Raw genomic sequence first — 17,245 nt, 5'->3', positions numbered from 1 at the left:
CCCAGGCTTTGATTTTAGTGCTAGGGTGTATAGTAAGTGGTGAGTAAATGTTAGTCACTATTATTACTTAGCATTTATTAATTAATTAATTAATTAATTAATTTTTTTTTTTTTTGAGACGGAGTCTCGCTCTGTCGCCCAGGCCGGACTGCGGACTGCAGTGGCGCAATCTCGGCTCACTGCAAGCTCTGCTTCCCGGGTTCACGCCATTCTCCTGCCTCAGCCTCCTGAGTAGCTGGGACTACAGGCGCCTGCCACCGCACCCGGCTAATTTTTTGTATTTTTAGTAGAGACGGGGTTTCACCTTGTTAGCCAGGATGGTCTCGATCTCCTGACCTCGTGATCCACCCACCTCGGCCTCCCAAAGTGCTGGGATTACAGGCGTGAGCCACCGCGCCCGGCCTATTAATTTATTTTGATCCGTGTTATGGTTTGAGTGTTTGGCCCCTCCAAACCTCAGGTTGAAATTTGATGCCCACTGTTGGAGGTGGGGCCTAACAGAAGGTGTTTGGGTCATGGACAGACAACTCATGAATAGATTAATGCCCTCCCTTGGGAAGGAGTGAGCTCTCAATCCATTCATGATTGCAAGAGCTGGTTTTTAAAAAGAGCCTGGCATCCCCTCTCCCCTTTGATTCTTCTCTCACCAGGTGATCTCTGCACATCCCTGCTCCCCTTTGCCTTCTGCCATGAAGCCCTCACCAGATGCAGATGCCCAATCTTCCTGAACTTTTCAGCCATCAGAATCATAAGTCAAATAAAGATTTTTTTTTTTTTTGAATATAGGCCGGGTGCAGTGGCTCACTTCTGTAATCCTAGCACTTTGGGAGCCTGAGGTGGGTGGATCACGAGGTCAGGAGATCCAGACCATCCTGGCTAACACGGTGAAACCCTATCTCTACTAAAAATACAAAAAAATTAGCTGCAACTGGTGGCGGGTACCTGTAGTCCCAGCTACTCAGGAGGCTGAGGCAGGAGAATGGCGTGAACCTGGGAGGTGGAGCTTGCAGTGAGCCCAGATTGCACCACTGCATTCCAGCCTGGGCAACAGAGTGAGACTCCTTCTCAAAAAAAAAAAAAAAAAAAAGAAATATATATAAATTACCCAGACTCAGGTATTCCTTTTTAGCAACAGAAAATGGACTAAGACACCTCACAACTACTATGTGAATTTAATGTCATCTCATTTAACAGATGTATTTGTTTGCTAAGGATGCCATAGCAAAACGCCATAGATGGGCTGCCTTAAACAATAGAAATTAATTTTATCATGGTTCTGGAGGTTGGAAGTCCAAGATCAAAGTGTCAGCAAAGTTGATTTCTTCCGAGGCCTCTCTCCTTGGCTTGCAGTTGGCCACCTTCTTGCTTTGTCCTCACATGGTCATTTATCTGTGTGTGTCTATGTGCTAATCTCATCTTCATACAAGGACAGTAGTTATATTGAACTAGGGACCACCCTAAAAACCTCATTTAAACTTAATTTACCTTTGTTAACACCCTTTATCCAAATAGTTACATTCTAAGGTACTGGAGGTTAGGACTTCAACATACAAATCTTGGGGGACATGATTTAGTCCAAATAGCAGACGAGAATACAGAGACACGTGCAGAGCCAACCTGTGATTCCAGGCAGTGAGCTCAGGGGCTGTGTTCTTAATCATTACACGGTCATGTATTTTGAATAAAATATAATGCCAGCATATGTACTTTTGGCATCTCTTACTAGTTATCTCAATGCATTTTTAATTTCTATGTAATCAGTATTGATCAAAATAGTCAGGAAATTAGGTTAGTTCATTTTTTTTCTAATTCATTAAGCATTAAGCATAATATTTTTGATTTCATACTTTGTTTAAAAATGTTCTAGGATGAATGTCTCCTTTCATCCTTTACTATGTGGACTTTGTAACAATGACTGAAATCCTATTTTGTGATTGAGGACTTTATGATCTGTGAATGAGGTAAATATTCTGAGTATTAATTTGAATTGTACAGTGCTGTTGCCACTGAAGGTGTGAGAGGCTGAGTCAACTAAGGGCACAGTGTTGTCTTGTCATTGCCTTTTTCTCATAGAAGGAATAGGTACATATATACACATATGTGGTTAATTGAGGCTGTGGTAGGTTAATGCTAATTTGAAGATTTTAGCATTATCTAAAAATACAGAGATTTTGTTGAGATTAAATTCTACAAATTATTGCATATTTTTCTTGATGACATTTTCTTTTGCCAACAAAAAAGTTTCCATACTCCTAGGAAAGACTAATTATTCTGTAGCCATAGTAACAGGTAAGCACCAAAATGGATTTTAAACCTGTTTATTTGTAATAAGACAATTTCAAAGTAATGGAGCATGAGAAGTCATTGTAAACCTATTTAATCCATCAACAACTCCCCTCAGTAAATATGCTTCTGAAAGCCAAGTAATCAGCATCAGCCTTTTGCTTTGGAAAATCAGACAGTGGGAAATGGACTCCCTCCAATGAATAGCCTTCTAGCAGTGAACCCATCCACAACAGTCTCACCTGAGTAACTACGCTCCTACAGGTTACACTACCCTCCACTCCACCCATCAGTTACCTACTCTTCTTCTAAGAGATCACGCCCATCCAGCATAACTCTTCCTCACTTAAGGAAGGCATAAATTCAGTTTTGTGGGTTTTTGTTGTTGTGCTTTGTTTGTTTGTTTAAGACACTGAGAAGTGGTCTCATCCTTTGACACTTTATTGCTTCTCAGTAGCACTCAAATATTGACTGGTCTAAGGGCCTTCTGGCTCTCCTTTAGGTCCCTTTTTGGTAGAACATGTGGGAAAAATGACAACATGGCCTTCTTAACTCCTTTATTCCAACTGTCTTTATTGATTGAATTTCAAGCATAAGGCATAAGTAAATGATCTGTCTTTCTTGTGGCATGATACGAGATTAGCTCTAACTTCCAATGCCTGCAAAGTGGCAGATTAGATGTACAGAGAGACCTTTTCCAGTACAGCATACCTAAAAATCCTGCATAAAAATCAGCCTCTCACAGGGAGAGTGCAGGTAGAGTGAGGAGAAAGTAAAGGAATTTCTCCAAATCCTTTTAGAAACTTCAGGAAAATACAAATCCAAAAGGGCAGCGTAGCAGTGCTGGAGCCAATGTTTGTCCTGGGGGTATCTAGTAAAACCTGGAGATGGCTTTCTGGGTTTTAATGGGACAAAGACACAGGGACAGGGGACAAAGCCTGAGCCCCAACAGGGAAAGAGGGGGCATCCAGTCAGAGTTCCTGTGTAAATCTAACACCCCTAAAGTAGATAAATAGAAAAAAATTTGCCCTGCTGATAAAGAGCTTGGAGATACACACCAGAGATATATTTCTGTCTTAATCTTGGCTTTCAATAAATTGGATGAAAAAAATTTCCCACTTCTAATCACAGGCCTGTAATCGCAGGTTGGGGACCAAAATCCCTCTACCTGTTTGGTTGTAGAAGAATTAATTTACAGTAGTCTTGTGTTGGTAGTGCTTCTGGAAGGTTGGCAGAAGCAAATGTAAATACTCCCTAGATGAATACAATTTCAACTATAGCCTCAGAAATTTCTCATACAAAAATCCCCAGAGGGAGTGGGTTCAAAATTTCTTACAAAAATTAGGCAAAACCAAGCCATTATAAACAAAAGTCAGCAGCAAAAACAAAGCACAGAAGTAGACTTGCAAAGCCAGTAGACATTAAAAGGATAAGAAACAGAATGTAAAGGGAGTATGTTTGATATGTTTTCATAAAACAAAGTATTGAAAATATAATGAAGAAACAAGAGATCAACATTTACTAGGTGGATTTGGAAAAGAATCAGATAGAACTTTCTGATAGGAGAATACAATAATTGGAAGGCAGAGATGCCATGCTCTCAGGAGGTGGTAAGGGCGTCTGTTTACATGAAAGAATGCCAGGTCTCCCTGTGTACATTTATAAGGCTGGCTTTCCTACAGGTGAAATAGGGAAATCAGGGACACTGTTGTAAGAGGAAAAATCCCGATGCTTGATTTATAATAAAAGAGTCAGAACTCAATGGCAGTCCACAGATGTTCTGTGGTTTGGTTTTTACTGTCAGTCAGTTTCTCTTTCCTCTTCTAGTTATTGTGTGGCCCCTTGAGAGTCTAGGTGGTCATGACAGGGCTCATTTTCCCAAGGTTGATAGGCTAGCAAACAGGACCTTCTATAGTGAAAATGACCAAACTTTGAAATATCCCATCTCCCAAGCTTGGAATACAGACCACCAGAATAATTTCCTCTTTCTTTGTCGTACTTTACTTACTGTACTTTACCTTACTACTGGAAAATCTGCCCATTGTTTTTTTTTTCTGGATGATGAATTCATTATTAATTAACAAATATGTCTTTTCATTTCCTTGCCTATTGTTATTGCCCTAGTTCTGGTCCTCATTACCCCATTTGTTTCTTCAGCGAATGTTTTCTAATTGATCTATCTGTCTATAATCTTATTTTGCTCAAATTCTTTCTATACAAAACTCAAATGACATCTGACCATACCACTCTTCTTGGCAATAAAAGTCAAAGATTTCCCATAGTGTATAATCTGAAAGACCCAACTCCTGGTTCTCTCTGAGTGGGCCTGCCTACTTCTCCAATGCTATGTTCTGCAAATCTCTACTTTCTTCCTCGCCACTCTACCTTCATTCTCTTACACATTCCATGCTGCCTCTCACCTTCATAACTTTTCTCATGCTGTTTCTGCTGTCCTGAATGCTTGGCGAATTCTAAGTTATCATTTGAGATTGAGACTGTGTGTCACTCCTTCCAGGAAATCTTTTCTGACACTCCCCATGTCCTGCTGAGTTAGCAGCTCTCCTTAGTACTTCCATGTACGAAGCATTTCTTTCTATATCAGTGTCTTACAATATTATACTCTGATTATGTATCCACATGTTTGATTTCCTCATTGTAGCGTGAGCTCCACATTTTATCTAAGGGTCTACAGAGCTAGTCTGTATTTACTAAGTGTTTACTAAGAGCTCAATGAATTTTGTTCAATGAATAAATTATTACCCTTCCTCTAAGATTCAATTTTCTGAGATGGGACCTTCTTGAACTAATCATTCCTGGGAATTTAGTTTAACGTCAAACCTTGGATGTTCTCAATGTGTCTGTAATGTAGCAACCAAGTACAAAAAAGACAGACCTTGTCATTGGACACCTCATGTGTTGTGGCCACAAAATTGCTTATTCGCTTTTCATGAGCCTAGTTTTTCTTCATGATGAAACTAGAGAAAGTGATAAAAACCCTGGTAGCCAGTATCCAAATAGTTCCCAATGATCCCCACCCCTGTTATTCGTTCTTTGTGTAGTCCCCTCTTATATTAAATAGAATGACCTATGTAGCCAATAGGATATTGTGAAAATAACCACGTGACTTCCAAAGCCAGAATGTTCATAAAAAACATTGTGGTTCCATTGGTCTTGGATTATTCACTCTAGGGAAAGCTAGCTGATATGTTATGAGGACATTTGAGCAGCCCCATGGAGAAGTCCACGTGGAAGGAACTGAGGCCTCTTGCTACCGTTATGTGAGTGAGCCATCTTGGAAGCAGATCCTCCAGCCTGGTTGATCCTTTGGATGACTGCAGCCCCAGGTGCCATCTTGACTACAACATCAGGAAAGATTCCAAATTAGACTCCCCCATCCCAGGTAAGCTGCAAATAACATCACATAACAATAGCCATTTATTATCTTCCATAGAAACTATGCAAGGTAATAAATAGTTATTGTTATGTTAAACCATTAAGTTTGGGGGTAATTTGTTAAGTAACAATAGATAACTCATATAGGAAACATACATTATACTTTAGAGTTTTCCTGTGTATCTTATCAGTAGATCTTTGTAGATAGCAAGTAATTACTAAATATGATTTTTAGTGTAAAAACATGCATGCAGTGAGCCAATTATCTGTGAAATGGCTGGGGTGAAGCTTTATTTTCCTTGAATTGTGGCCAAAGGATAAACACGCACTGCCACAAACAGCAAACAGATGTAGGATTCAGATGGTCTGTGGATGCCTAAGAGTTTTCCATCACAGATTTGTTTCTCACTTAAGTGAAGTTAATGAATTTGGGGTGAAGTGATGTAACTATCATGGTTACTTTTATCCTGTCTCAGCATACTATGCTATCCTACCTCTCAAGACTATACACCTCCTTAATGTAAAAACAAAAACAAAAACAAAAACACTAAGTTTTAACAAATCGCAGCATTTACTTTATAAGCTAGTCAGCACTTGAAATGAAAGAGAAATATTCTGCCTAATTTTGAATACTAATCCACACAATAGGAGACAATTCTGTGCTGGGATATTGTTCATTCATTCATTCATTCATTCATTTATGTGTTCATTCATCATGCATTTCACAAATACTTATCCGTGAAGGTATTGGTTTTAATGCTATGGGAAAACACAAAGTGGAACCAGCGTAATGAGGTGGAAAGAGCATGGCCTCTGGAATCAAATGGACCTAAGTTCAGTCTCTTACAGTATTTGAGGCAACCCAATAAATAATTTCTGGTTTCCAACCTGGCTTTTCAATCCTCGGAGAGATAAGACAAAAAGTAAGATAACATATGGAAGCCAGTATATCACTACTTTTAGTAATGAGATGATTTTGGTGAATGTGGCTTGTATCTGAAGTAAGTTGACTTCCTAATTCTGAACTTGAGAATTAGGCAGACTTTTACACCAATCACTCATGGAGAGCTGGGATAGAAGAGAACTCATGTTGTCTGGGCACTCCCGGGAGAAGGAACAGGAGCAACAACAGAACAGCTCCTTACTCCAAAACCACCACCGATTATTACAGGGCCTGTTCTGAGGCACAGCGAATGCCGGGGTGATGGAAGGCAGAGGGTGTGCCAAGGGCACTCCATCTTCAGGAAGGGAAACTCCAGGAGTGGAGAAGGAGTATTTGGACCTGGAGCCCATGAGAGGGATGGCCATTCCCTACTCAGGAAGGGTCAGCTGGCTCTCAGGAGAGATCCACTCATGCTCCTGATGCTGCTCCCAATACCAACCAGGGTCTTTTGGGCATCTCCCTGATATCTCCAGGGCAGTAGATTTTGCTCCAAGAGGTTTCTAGAATAAGCCAGAAAAGTGAATTAGTGAAATCAAAGCCAAGGCCAGTCTGAAATCTGTAAAATCAAAGCCAAGGCTGAAAAAGCAATCCTTCTTCCATTTCCATTTCAAATTAATATCAGCTACACTGTACAATTCAGCTCATTCTAGTGTTTTTAATTCAGAGATTCAGAGATGAAATTAAATGATAACATAACAACAAAGTACAATAATACAGTATAACAATGTAGATATCTGAAATTTGAATCCAAACCCTCTTCCATTTTAAATTTCCTAGCAAGAAATTAGAGTTTAATGATTAAAATTCCTATGCAGATTAAAGTTCAAACATTCACAGCAATTAACATCTGGAAGTAAATTCTATTTCCCTATCTGTTAAAAATTCAAAGATATTGCCATACCTTCATTGCTTAATTTATTATTCTGGCTGTTTTAGCCAGAGGGTTCTTACTGTCTATGTCAGCAATTTTCCAACTTTTTAATCTCAGGATTTCTTGAAACTCTGAGTAATTGTTGAAAACACCAAAGTACTTATTAATATTTATTATATTATAAATTAAAACTGAGGCATTTAAAAATACTTATTCATTTAAATATAACAAAATAAACCCATTTCAACTTAACATAGATAGCATGTATTTATGAAATGGGGTATGAGAAGATACTGGTCAAACTGTGCAAAATTTCAGTGATGCATGAGAAATATTTTAGTAATCATCGCAAAGCATGATGACTATAGTTAATAATAATTCAAAACTGTACATTTCAAAACTGCTAAAAGAGGAGACTTCATTTTTTTTACCACAAAAAATGTTAGGTATATGAGGTGATAGATATGTTAATTAGTTATATTTAATTATTATACCATATACATGGTAGACCATATATATATTATATTTGATATATATGATATATATCAACACATCACATTGTACCCCATAAATATATGAAATTATTTGTCAATTAAAAATAAATTAAAAAATATAGTGAAAAAGTGTAGCTTTTTTTTTTTCATGTTGGCGAATCCTTCTCATGTTTGGTTTAATAGAAGGCAGCTGGATTCTGCTCTTGCCTTCAATCTGTTGCAATATGTTTTTTGGTTGAATAATCTGAAGAAAATTCAGCCTCACACAGACATGCAGTTGGAAAAGGCAGGCATATTTTTATACCAGTTTCAGATAATGGTGGATTTTCTTATTTGATATTATGATGATGATTGACAAGTGGTAGTTTCTGAAAAGTTAGTGCAATGCGTTGAATCTGAAACCAGGTCAGTGAAGTTTTCACACGTTGCTGTATTAAAATCCATGATAGCATCTTGCATTTTGAAAGAATCCCTTATCCATGCATAATTTTGTTAACATCATATGTTGGTCATATGGAAAATATTGGTTCACTGAGTTAGGCAGATCTCCCAAATCTTGACACGTTTCATTATACAATACCAAAAAATCATATTTGGTAATATTTCCATGCACCTCATCAGAAAAGTCTTTCGGTATTAAGAAGCTGTCAAGCTCACAGTGCTGGACACATGTTTTTTAAAATCCTGATTTTCACTTGAAAGCTTGAATTTTATTATTAGTGACAATTATTGTCAGCTATTCTCCTTGAAGTGACAGGCTTTCCTTGTTTATTTTTGAGCAAATAGTTGTCAAATACCCAGGTTTGAATAATCACAGTAGTTCCATTAAGATAAAAGAAATGCTCATTTAAAAAAAGAAAAGAAAAAGCCTAGTTCTCTCTTAATCTAAACAACTGCACAGTGCTTGCCCTTGAAACAACCTTCATACTTTGGTATGTTGCAAATGTAATCTATGCAACTTCCCACTTTGTCACATGAACTATTAAAAGGACATGTCCTCAATCGATAAGATTTAATAAAACTAATATTTTTTTACAGTTTCATTAAGGACAGTCTTAAGTGAAAGTGACTTAATTTTTTTTGTGTGTGAGTGCTTGATGGTGAATAATTCAATGACTGCTAGTATACTTGGGTGTCATAGTGGAGAGAAGAGAGAAGGTAGTGTCTTTTCCTCACCTGTAGCAAAGTTCATGGCAGGGTTCCTATAAAAAATGATAGATTGACTTAATTAGTTTTACGTGACATAGGAGCCTTCATAAGGAAATGAAGAAACAAAGGAATAGGGGAACCTATATCTTTTTATGCTAAGTTTGGTGAAGAAGTGAATACTTGTGGAAAAGTATGCTTGGACAAAAGGGGTATGGTTTAATGGTAATAAGTTGGGGGAAACTTAGCAAGTCCTGTTTGTCTACATTGTTCTTTGTGTTTCTGTCTGCAGAGACAAGGACATCTCTTTCCTCTGGGTATAGGGTGGGCATCTCTCACATGAGGGTCTTATGACCTGGTCCAGAGGAAGGTCAGAGAATTCTTTCTACGTTTTATGGCTTGCTTTAAGGGGACCTTCCTCTGCTGTTTCTGCTGTTTTCTCAAATGTCGAGGTACCATATTTTGGAGTAGCATGTCCTGAAGCCCATCAGTGCTGTGTCTTGACATATGCTAAGGGCAAGCTCTTTACCTCCCCATGCTTTTGTGCCACCAGTGCAAATGTCAATAAATGGAAAAAACAGACTCACAAATACCATCTTACTTTTATTTTGAAAATCGTTTTGACATGGCAGAACCCCTGAAAATGTCCGGAGAACCGTTAATGGCCGATGAGCCATACTTTGAGGACTGTAGTCTAGGGAGATGCCTAGTTTGTTTCTATCTGGAATGGGCATAGTTCTTTTTAGGTCTCAGAAGTGATATTAGTTCAGTCAAAAGTTCTTCAATGCCTTTCTTTCCCCCAACTCGCCACCCAATTTTTCCACATCCATACCAACACTTGTTATTTTCTGGTTTCCTTAAGATTAAAAAAAAATTCTTATAAAATAATTTAAAGAGTTAATAGAACATATATCAGAACCCTGACCCCACATCCACCAAATTGAGCAAAGCAGCCCATTCCTAACTCCAGGGGCAGCTATTTCCAGCAAAATTAGGTTTCTAGAAGCCAGCAAAGTAGTTTGTCACAGAAAACAGCAGAGAATCAGATGAGTCAGGGATAAGATAGCTAGGGAAATCTGCCCAGCTACTGTCTTCTCCAGATGATGCTAGTTGTCATGAATTCATGAGCTTTGAAAAACATAATGGGGAAAAACAGTCTCCAAGCAAGGGCAGGTACCATGTCTGGGAGGAAAATCCACACATGTACACCTCCACTATCATACTAGCATACCTCGTTGCAAACTAGAAATTTGCCATGATGGTCACCCCATCTCCAGTAATTGATCTTTCTATTTTTGCCATCCACCATATTCATCACCTCCTAATTCGCATTTTCCATTTGCTTTGCCTTCTTATGCTTGGCACTAACAATTTAAATCTAGAACCTTACTTAGTGCTCTGCAGTGCAAATGCAATTCTCTAGCACTGTAATTTAAAAACAGCAAATAGGTTCCGAACCCTAATGTCTCAGTTCTCTTTTCTCTATAGATGAATCATTGCTTTACCTGTGTCTGCTTAGGAAATCTTGCACCTGTGTAGGTCAAGGGCCCCTTGAAGCACCTGTATGCAGAGGCCACCTTCACATGCTAACGGCCCACACCTGTGTTGAGCCTGTAGGGCCAGGATTGGCTCACAAGCTCCAAGAGACACCATCTATGGAGGACACCTGTGTGAACTAAGCTTAGCTTTTTGGTGGCTGTGTGGTCCCCTGTGCCTTCGCTAATCCTTGAACTACCTTGCCCTTTTGATGAGGCTGGGACACCTTATCAGCTTTTGGCACTATGCAAGCAACCCTGCCTCTCTGTAAGCTGTCAATGGCCTGTGAACAAAGGCATATGCCACAGCCACTTACCAAGGTCAAGTAGTACATAGCTCAAGGCTTAAAGCATTTGCCCGGGCTGTAGTGGTTAAAATCCAATTTCACAGTTGTATTAACCATTGTGTATGATCCTCTAAACCTTCCAAAGTTAAAACACCTGCTCATACACTAAGATCCAAGGCTCAAATCCACTTTGCTGGCTCAAACGCTCTACATACATTTTATTCTTCTGAAATTTTACTTCTGGTCTCTTTTCTAAGATTGCTGACATACCGTGCTAGGTATTAGTGAGTTTGAGTTTAGATCTCCCAAACTACAATCCCCCATGCCTTTGGCTACAGGAACCGAAGCTTCTTCCAAAAGACTTACAGTGATTAGAAGCAGAGAAAAATGGAAGAGAAAGGAAGAGAAGAAGAAAGTGCCTCCAGGTTCTCCTTCCAGACAAAACCATCACACTGAGACAGCTTTTCAGCTTTCTGAGGAGGAGGGAGTAAGGGGACAGGGAGAAGCCTGGAGTCTTAGGGAACGAGAATTCGGCACCCCTCTCCTACAGGAAAACACAGGGGAGGAGCAGAAGCATGACCTTGAGAACAACATCATAGCTCAGCTTCTTACCCACTGTGTATTACTTCCATCTCTATAAGCCACAGTTTTCTCATCTTTAAAATGGAGATTTTAATATCGACACAGAATGGCCATTATATGGATTAGAGATTCGCGTGTCAAGCTGCTATCATGCACACAGTAGACCCTTAGTAAATACGATTCCTGATCTCAGTGCAGTCACAGCCCAGAGGGGACAAAAACACATGCAAGCAGATATATGACAAGCCAGAGTATGTGCTCAAGTGCTAAAAGGAAAACGCCAAGCTCTCTAAGAGCCCAGACAAAGGAACATTTATTTAATTCTAACATGGGTTGGTGTGGTGAGTGGGGGATATTGTGGATGATTTCATGAGAAGGATGGCTCGGGGGTTGAATTTTTAAATTTCAAGAAGGGCTTTTCCTTCTCTTGGTTCATTTGATGAGCATGTTGTTTTGATCATCTACCAACTGTGAGGATCTGGGCAAGCAGAAATGTAAAATATAAATAACAGAATTCCAGAATCTATAGAGCTAGTTGGAGAAACATCACACACACACACACGCACACACACACACACACACACACACACACACAGCTCTAATATGAATGTTTATGCCCCCCATTCATATGCTGAAATCCTAACCCCCCAAGTGAGAATATTAGGAGTTGGGGTCTTTGGGAGGTACTTAGTTCATGAGGGCAGAACCTTTATGAGTGGACTTAGTGCCAGCATAAAGAGGTCACAGAGAGCTGCCTGCTCCTTCCATTGTGTGAGACACAGCGAGAAGATGCCATCTGTGAACAAGGAAGCAAGTCCTCACCGGACATGGAATCTGCTGGGGACTTCATCTAGGCCTTGCAAACTCCAGAAACGTGAGAAGTAAATTTCTGTTGCCTATAAGCCACCTAGTCTATGGTAATTTATTATAGCAGCCCAAAGTGATTAAGACACACACACACACACACACACACACCACATCCCCAAGTGCGTGCATAGCACAGACACAAGAGTAAGCCAAAGTACCGTATCTGTAAGCAAAGTGGTGCAAAGCACATGCCAGGCTTGGGCAGAGAATGCTGGAGGGACAGTGTAGAAGAGCTCATCTGAGACGTTCTCCTAGAAGCTGGGAGCTTAATGATAAGACAAAATTAGAAGAGGATGGGAAAAATGTTTGGAAGCAAGGTTATTTAAGGCCTATGGCAAGAAAGCAACACATTGAAAGTGGTCAGAATAAAGAAGGCTATTGGAGGAGGTTCCTTTGGAGAAGTTTGGTCCCATAGAGACACCCAAGTTAGGTTGAAGAATTTGGCTGTGAATGAAACGGCAGTATGGAGCAGGTGGTTTGGAAACAAGCCATTTCCTAGCTTTGTGGAGCCATTTCCTTCCCATCAGGATATTCCTTTTGGCATTTAAGATCTTTAAGATCACAGTTGCTGGGAGCGGTGGCTCATGCTTGTAATCCCCGCACCTTGGGAGGCCAAGGCAGGCGGATCACCAGAGGTCAGGAGTTCAAATACCAGCCTGGCCAAAATGGTGAAACCCCTGTCTCTACTAAAATACAAAAATTAACCAGGTGTGGTGGCAGGCATCTGTAATCCCAGCTACTTGGGAGGCTGAGGCAGGAGATTTGCTTGAGTCCAGGAGGCAGAGGTTGCAGTGAGCCAAGATCGCGCCACTGCACTCCAGCCTGGGTGACAGAGTGAGACCCTGTCTCAAAAAGCAAAACAACAACAATAAAAAAAACCCCCAAAAAACCCAACCCCCAAATCACAGTCTTATCACAAATGTATCCATGTAGAAAGCCTGCCAATGATACAGAGCACATTTCTCTTAAGGAGAGAAAGACACCATGACATGATATTCCAATAATGCCTCATTTATGTTTGAATATGAACATGTTTTCAAGCAGGTGAACTAAAGTTGAAAGCCAATGTTATTTCGTGATCTACATTTATGCCTATTTTCTGAGTATTTCATTTTGTGTAGAGAAGTTCAGTGAAAAGAATAAATGATTTCCTTGCCTATTAATGAATGGAAATAAGTTTAGTGGCTTCAATGTCTAGGGTTTCATCAGATTTCTCAGAAACTCAAAAGAAAGTAAATTGCGTGGTCTCAACTCAACAAACTGTGGACAGTGGTCAGTGCTATACACAATTAAGCTTGTGACTAGAGACTCATCCAGAGAATGGGAAAAGAATTCTGTGAGAGAAGCACCCTCTCCCTCCAACCTGGCAATGCTCCCCAGCAGAGAGCTTGCATCATTTAACAGCAGTGTCAGCTTATTGACCATCATAAACTTAAGTCTCACTGAAGCACGAATAAATAAATTAGTATCTTGAAAGCACATAACAGGAAAAGGATGTAGAAAATAGCTGCAGGATCAAGAGTGCCCTAAAGTACAGCGGTCTGGATAATGCAAGCGTTGAATCGGATCTTTCCCTGCTGCCTTGTTCCCCTAATAATAATATGGGCCCTCTGTACAGATGCCAATTCCACTGACCCACCAGTATTTGAAAAGGAGGTCATGGGGAGTTATTTCTGCCACTCTTTTAAAAAAATAATTCACTTATGAGATGGAGGTGGAAATTCGCAGATAATTGATAGGTATGGGTTATCTTTTGTAGGGCCTCAGAATAAAGCAATGCCAAGGACCCATCGTGGGGCTGGTCTTGTGCTATTGACCTTACTGGTCTTCCAGAAGGACTGCTCCCATGGGCTCTTGGGTGGGATGATAAATTTGCTAAATCAGGTTCACTGCACTTTCCTCTCACAAAGGAGTATATATGCCTGGAGTGGCTCCATTACTAGGCTCCATTTCCAGCACCTACCAATTGGCACTGTGTATTTTTTAAAGAATAACATTGAGGCTCCTTGCCTCCTTTCAAACTGTGAGAAAGAGTAAGTTTCTATTCAGTGTTCTAAATGCTATCTGCTTAGTTTAATAGGGTTGTAGTAACCATCATGGGAGTTTTACTGAAGTCCAAAGTATCCCAGAAAATGTACATTCCTCTCTTTTCTTATTAAATGGTGCACAGGGACAAGCTCATCATCATCCTTATTTTATTGCAAATTGGTCTGTTGAATTATTTATTCTTTCTTTATCCCTATTTCCCTATCTTACCTTGAAGCCCTCTCCCTCCACCAAATGGCAAACATTCTGCCCGAAGACAGAAACCAAGTTGATAGGAATGTGGCTAATTAGGTGTCTGGGGCAGTGTCATTTCCATACACTGATTTTCCCCACACTTGAGCAGTTATACAGGAAGCAAATTGGCAATTAAAGTAACCACACAATCCTGTAGCTGACACTGTCTTCCAATTATTTCCATTATTCAGATGTGCTGCCAGAGCTAGCAAGGAGACAACCAGGTCAGCTTGCTCCAATTCTTCCCTTACTGGCAAATTCTTCCCAGGTGACTGTAACAGCAGGGAAGGACTACACAAACAGAGTTGAGCTTTCCAAATCTTCATCAGGCTCAGGAGGAGCTGCACAGGCTGTTGTCAGGACTGATTGTCATATGAAACTCCCTTGCTGGCGGATACTCCCTTCTTGTGCTATGGGATGCCCAGGTTCTTCCACAAGTACAGTTGTCAATAGGTGCCATCAGGGAGAGCTTCCGGCAAGAGGGGTGGAATGTGAAACTGCAATGCCACTGATCTAGCAAATCCCCATCTTCCTGGGTGCCTTTGCTGGGTGCAATAAATTACAGGCTCATTTTTTCCCCCCATGGGCTGAGGGCCATCTTGATAGATGGTGAGGTGGGTCAGCAGCTGCCCAGAGATGGAGACTGTATCCAGAGAGTTGCACTGGGGAAGGGCAGGCTGCCTGGTCATTCAACCTGAGCTCTTCTGCAAAGGTTAGATGAGACATGGTTGAAGCAGTTGTTGCTAACAAAACACATTAATAAGGAGGCTGGAGGCATTCTGATTTGGTGTTTTGGCCTTGCTTAATTCCAAAGGGAAGCAGGCATTGCAGTAAAGTGATTCTTGATCTTCGTTATGATTCTTGTCTTCATTGGGGAGGTTCAATCCTGGCAAACTGGGTTGAGACTGGGCATGGATGGACAGGGTGAATGTGAATTAAAGTATATTTCAAAGCAGGTTGCATGTCCTTGTGGATTCACTAACATGGAGCTTCAGGTTCATTTTATGTCAGGTATTGTCCTGGGGGCAATGATTGGAGAGCACAGGTTTCATAGAGACTGTGGGGTCCCCAAAATTGAGCTCAAATGGCTTTCTGGCCAATGAGGTTAAAGAAAAGGATACTTGGAGGTGCAGAGTATGAGGCTGGTGTGTGTGTGTGTGAGTGTGTGTGTGCACACGCGCACATGCTGACAGCCGGGGAAGGTGATTCCCATTCACCCAGGTTTCCCAGTTCCCAGGCTAGGATGGCTACACACCTTTGAGACTAAGTACTGAGATGTGGCTTTTGCTTGTATTTCAGGCCTGGCCCAGAGAAAGAGATGAAAGCTGACACGCAGCTCTCAGAATCACCCTTGCTATCAGGTTTGGCTTCTGGAGCTGATGGGAATCTGAGAGACGTCAGGGTAGAAGCCGCCTGTCTTGGTGAGCTTCCCGTGCTCATCTGGCTTTGGGAAAGACTCTCAGCCTCATTTGCTTATCCTCCATCACGGACCAAGCACTTGGTTTGGGAATAAGGGGCCCTTGGCACTTACTGTTGTGTTCTTGGCCTTTGGGGCCTTGGCCAAGAGTCAGGTGGAAAGAGTTCCACCCTAACATCTTCTCCTATGCTTCCTCCCAGAGCAGGGGATGGGAAAGTATGGGGAGAAAAAGGCTCCTTAGGGAATTACTTCATGTTAAAAAATATTTACTAGGCACTTAACACGTACGCAGAAATTTACCAGTGGCTGAAGTGGGTAATAGGGATGTATCAATTAACTAATAAACTAATTAATTAGACAAATGTATTAGACATTGACTGTGGGTCAGGCACTGTGCTGAGCATTGGGGATATAGCAATTAAAAAAAAAAAGCCATGGCCAGGCACGGTGGCTCACACCTGTAATCCCAGCACTTTGGGAGGCCAAGGCGGGCAGATACCTGAGGTCAGGAATTTGAGACCAGCCTGGCCACCATGGTGATACCCTGTCTCTACTAAAATACACAAAAGAATTAGCTGGGCATGGTGGCATGCACCTGTAATCCCAGCTACTCAGGAAGCTGAGGCACGAGAATCGTTTGAACCTGGGAGGTGGAGTTTGCAGTGAGCCAAGATGGTGCCACTGCACTCCAGCCTGGGTAACAGGGTGATACCCTGTCTCAAAGAAAAAAAAAAAAAAAAAAAAAAAGACAACAAAAACACACACACACACAAAACAAACAAAAAAACCCAAAAGCCCAAATTCATACCCTCACAGAGCTTACTGTATAGTGGGGGAGACTCAAAATAAACAAAATGGATATGTTACATAAGGAAAGCATAGTGGGTAGGACTGTGCACTCTCCAGGCCGACCTCCTGGTGTTTCAGTCCTGGCTCCGCTGCTTGGCCATTTTGTAATCTTGGGCAAGCTACTTAATTTCTCTGTGGCTCAGTTTCCTCATCTGTGAAATGGGATCAACAGGTGACTCACTCTGCCATGCTGCTGTGAGGGTTAAATGAAATAGTGCATGCAAAGCTCTTAGAACAGGTCCAGCATGCAGCGAGCCTTCCAGAAGGGTTTGCTGTGATTTTGTTGACATTAGATGGT

The 17,245-nt window shown here is 40.9% G+C and overlaps 1 long non-coding RNA gene across 1 annotated transcript in view; it reads left to right on the top strand.

Moving 5' to 3' along the window:
• LINC02150 (long intergenic non-protein coding RNA 2150) overlaps positions 1-16,456 on the top strand; it is a 67,742-nt gene extending 51,286 nt beyond the window's left edge. Inside the window, exons 8-9 of the long non-coding RNA NR_104625.1 lie at positions 5,473-5,683; positions 15,981-16,456. This is a non-coding gene — a long non-coding RNA (long intergenic non-protein coding RNA 2150). The remainder of the gene's footprint in view (positions 1-5,472; positions 5,684-15,980) is intronic.
• Positions 16,457-17,245: the final 789 nt, after the last annotated feature.

This window comes from Homo sapiens, chromosome 5, assembly GCF_000001405.40.
Source record: "Homo sapiens chromosome 5, GRCh38.p14 Primary Assembly".
Taxonomy (NCBI): Eukaryota; Metazoa; Chordata; class Mammalia; order Primates; family Hominidae; genus Homo; species Homo sapiens.
Note: the sequence above shows the minus strand (reverse complement) of the source record. Positions and strands in the feature narration are given on the sequence as shown.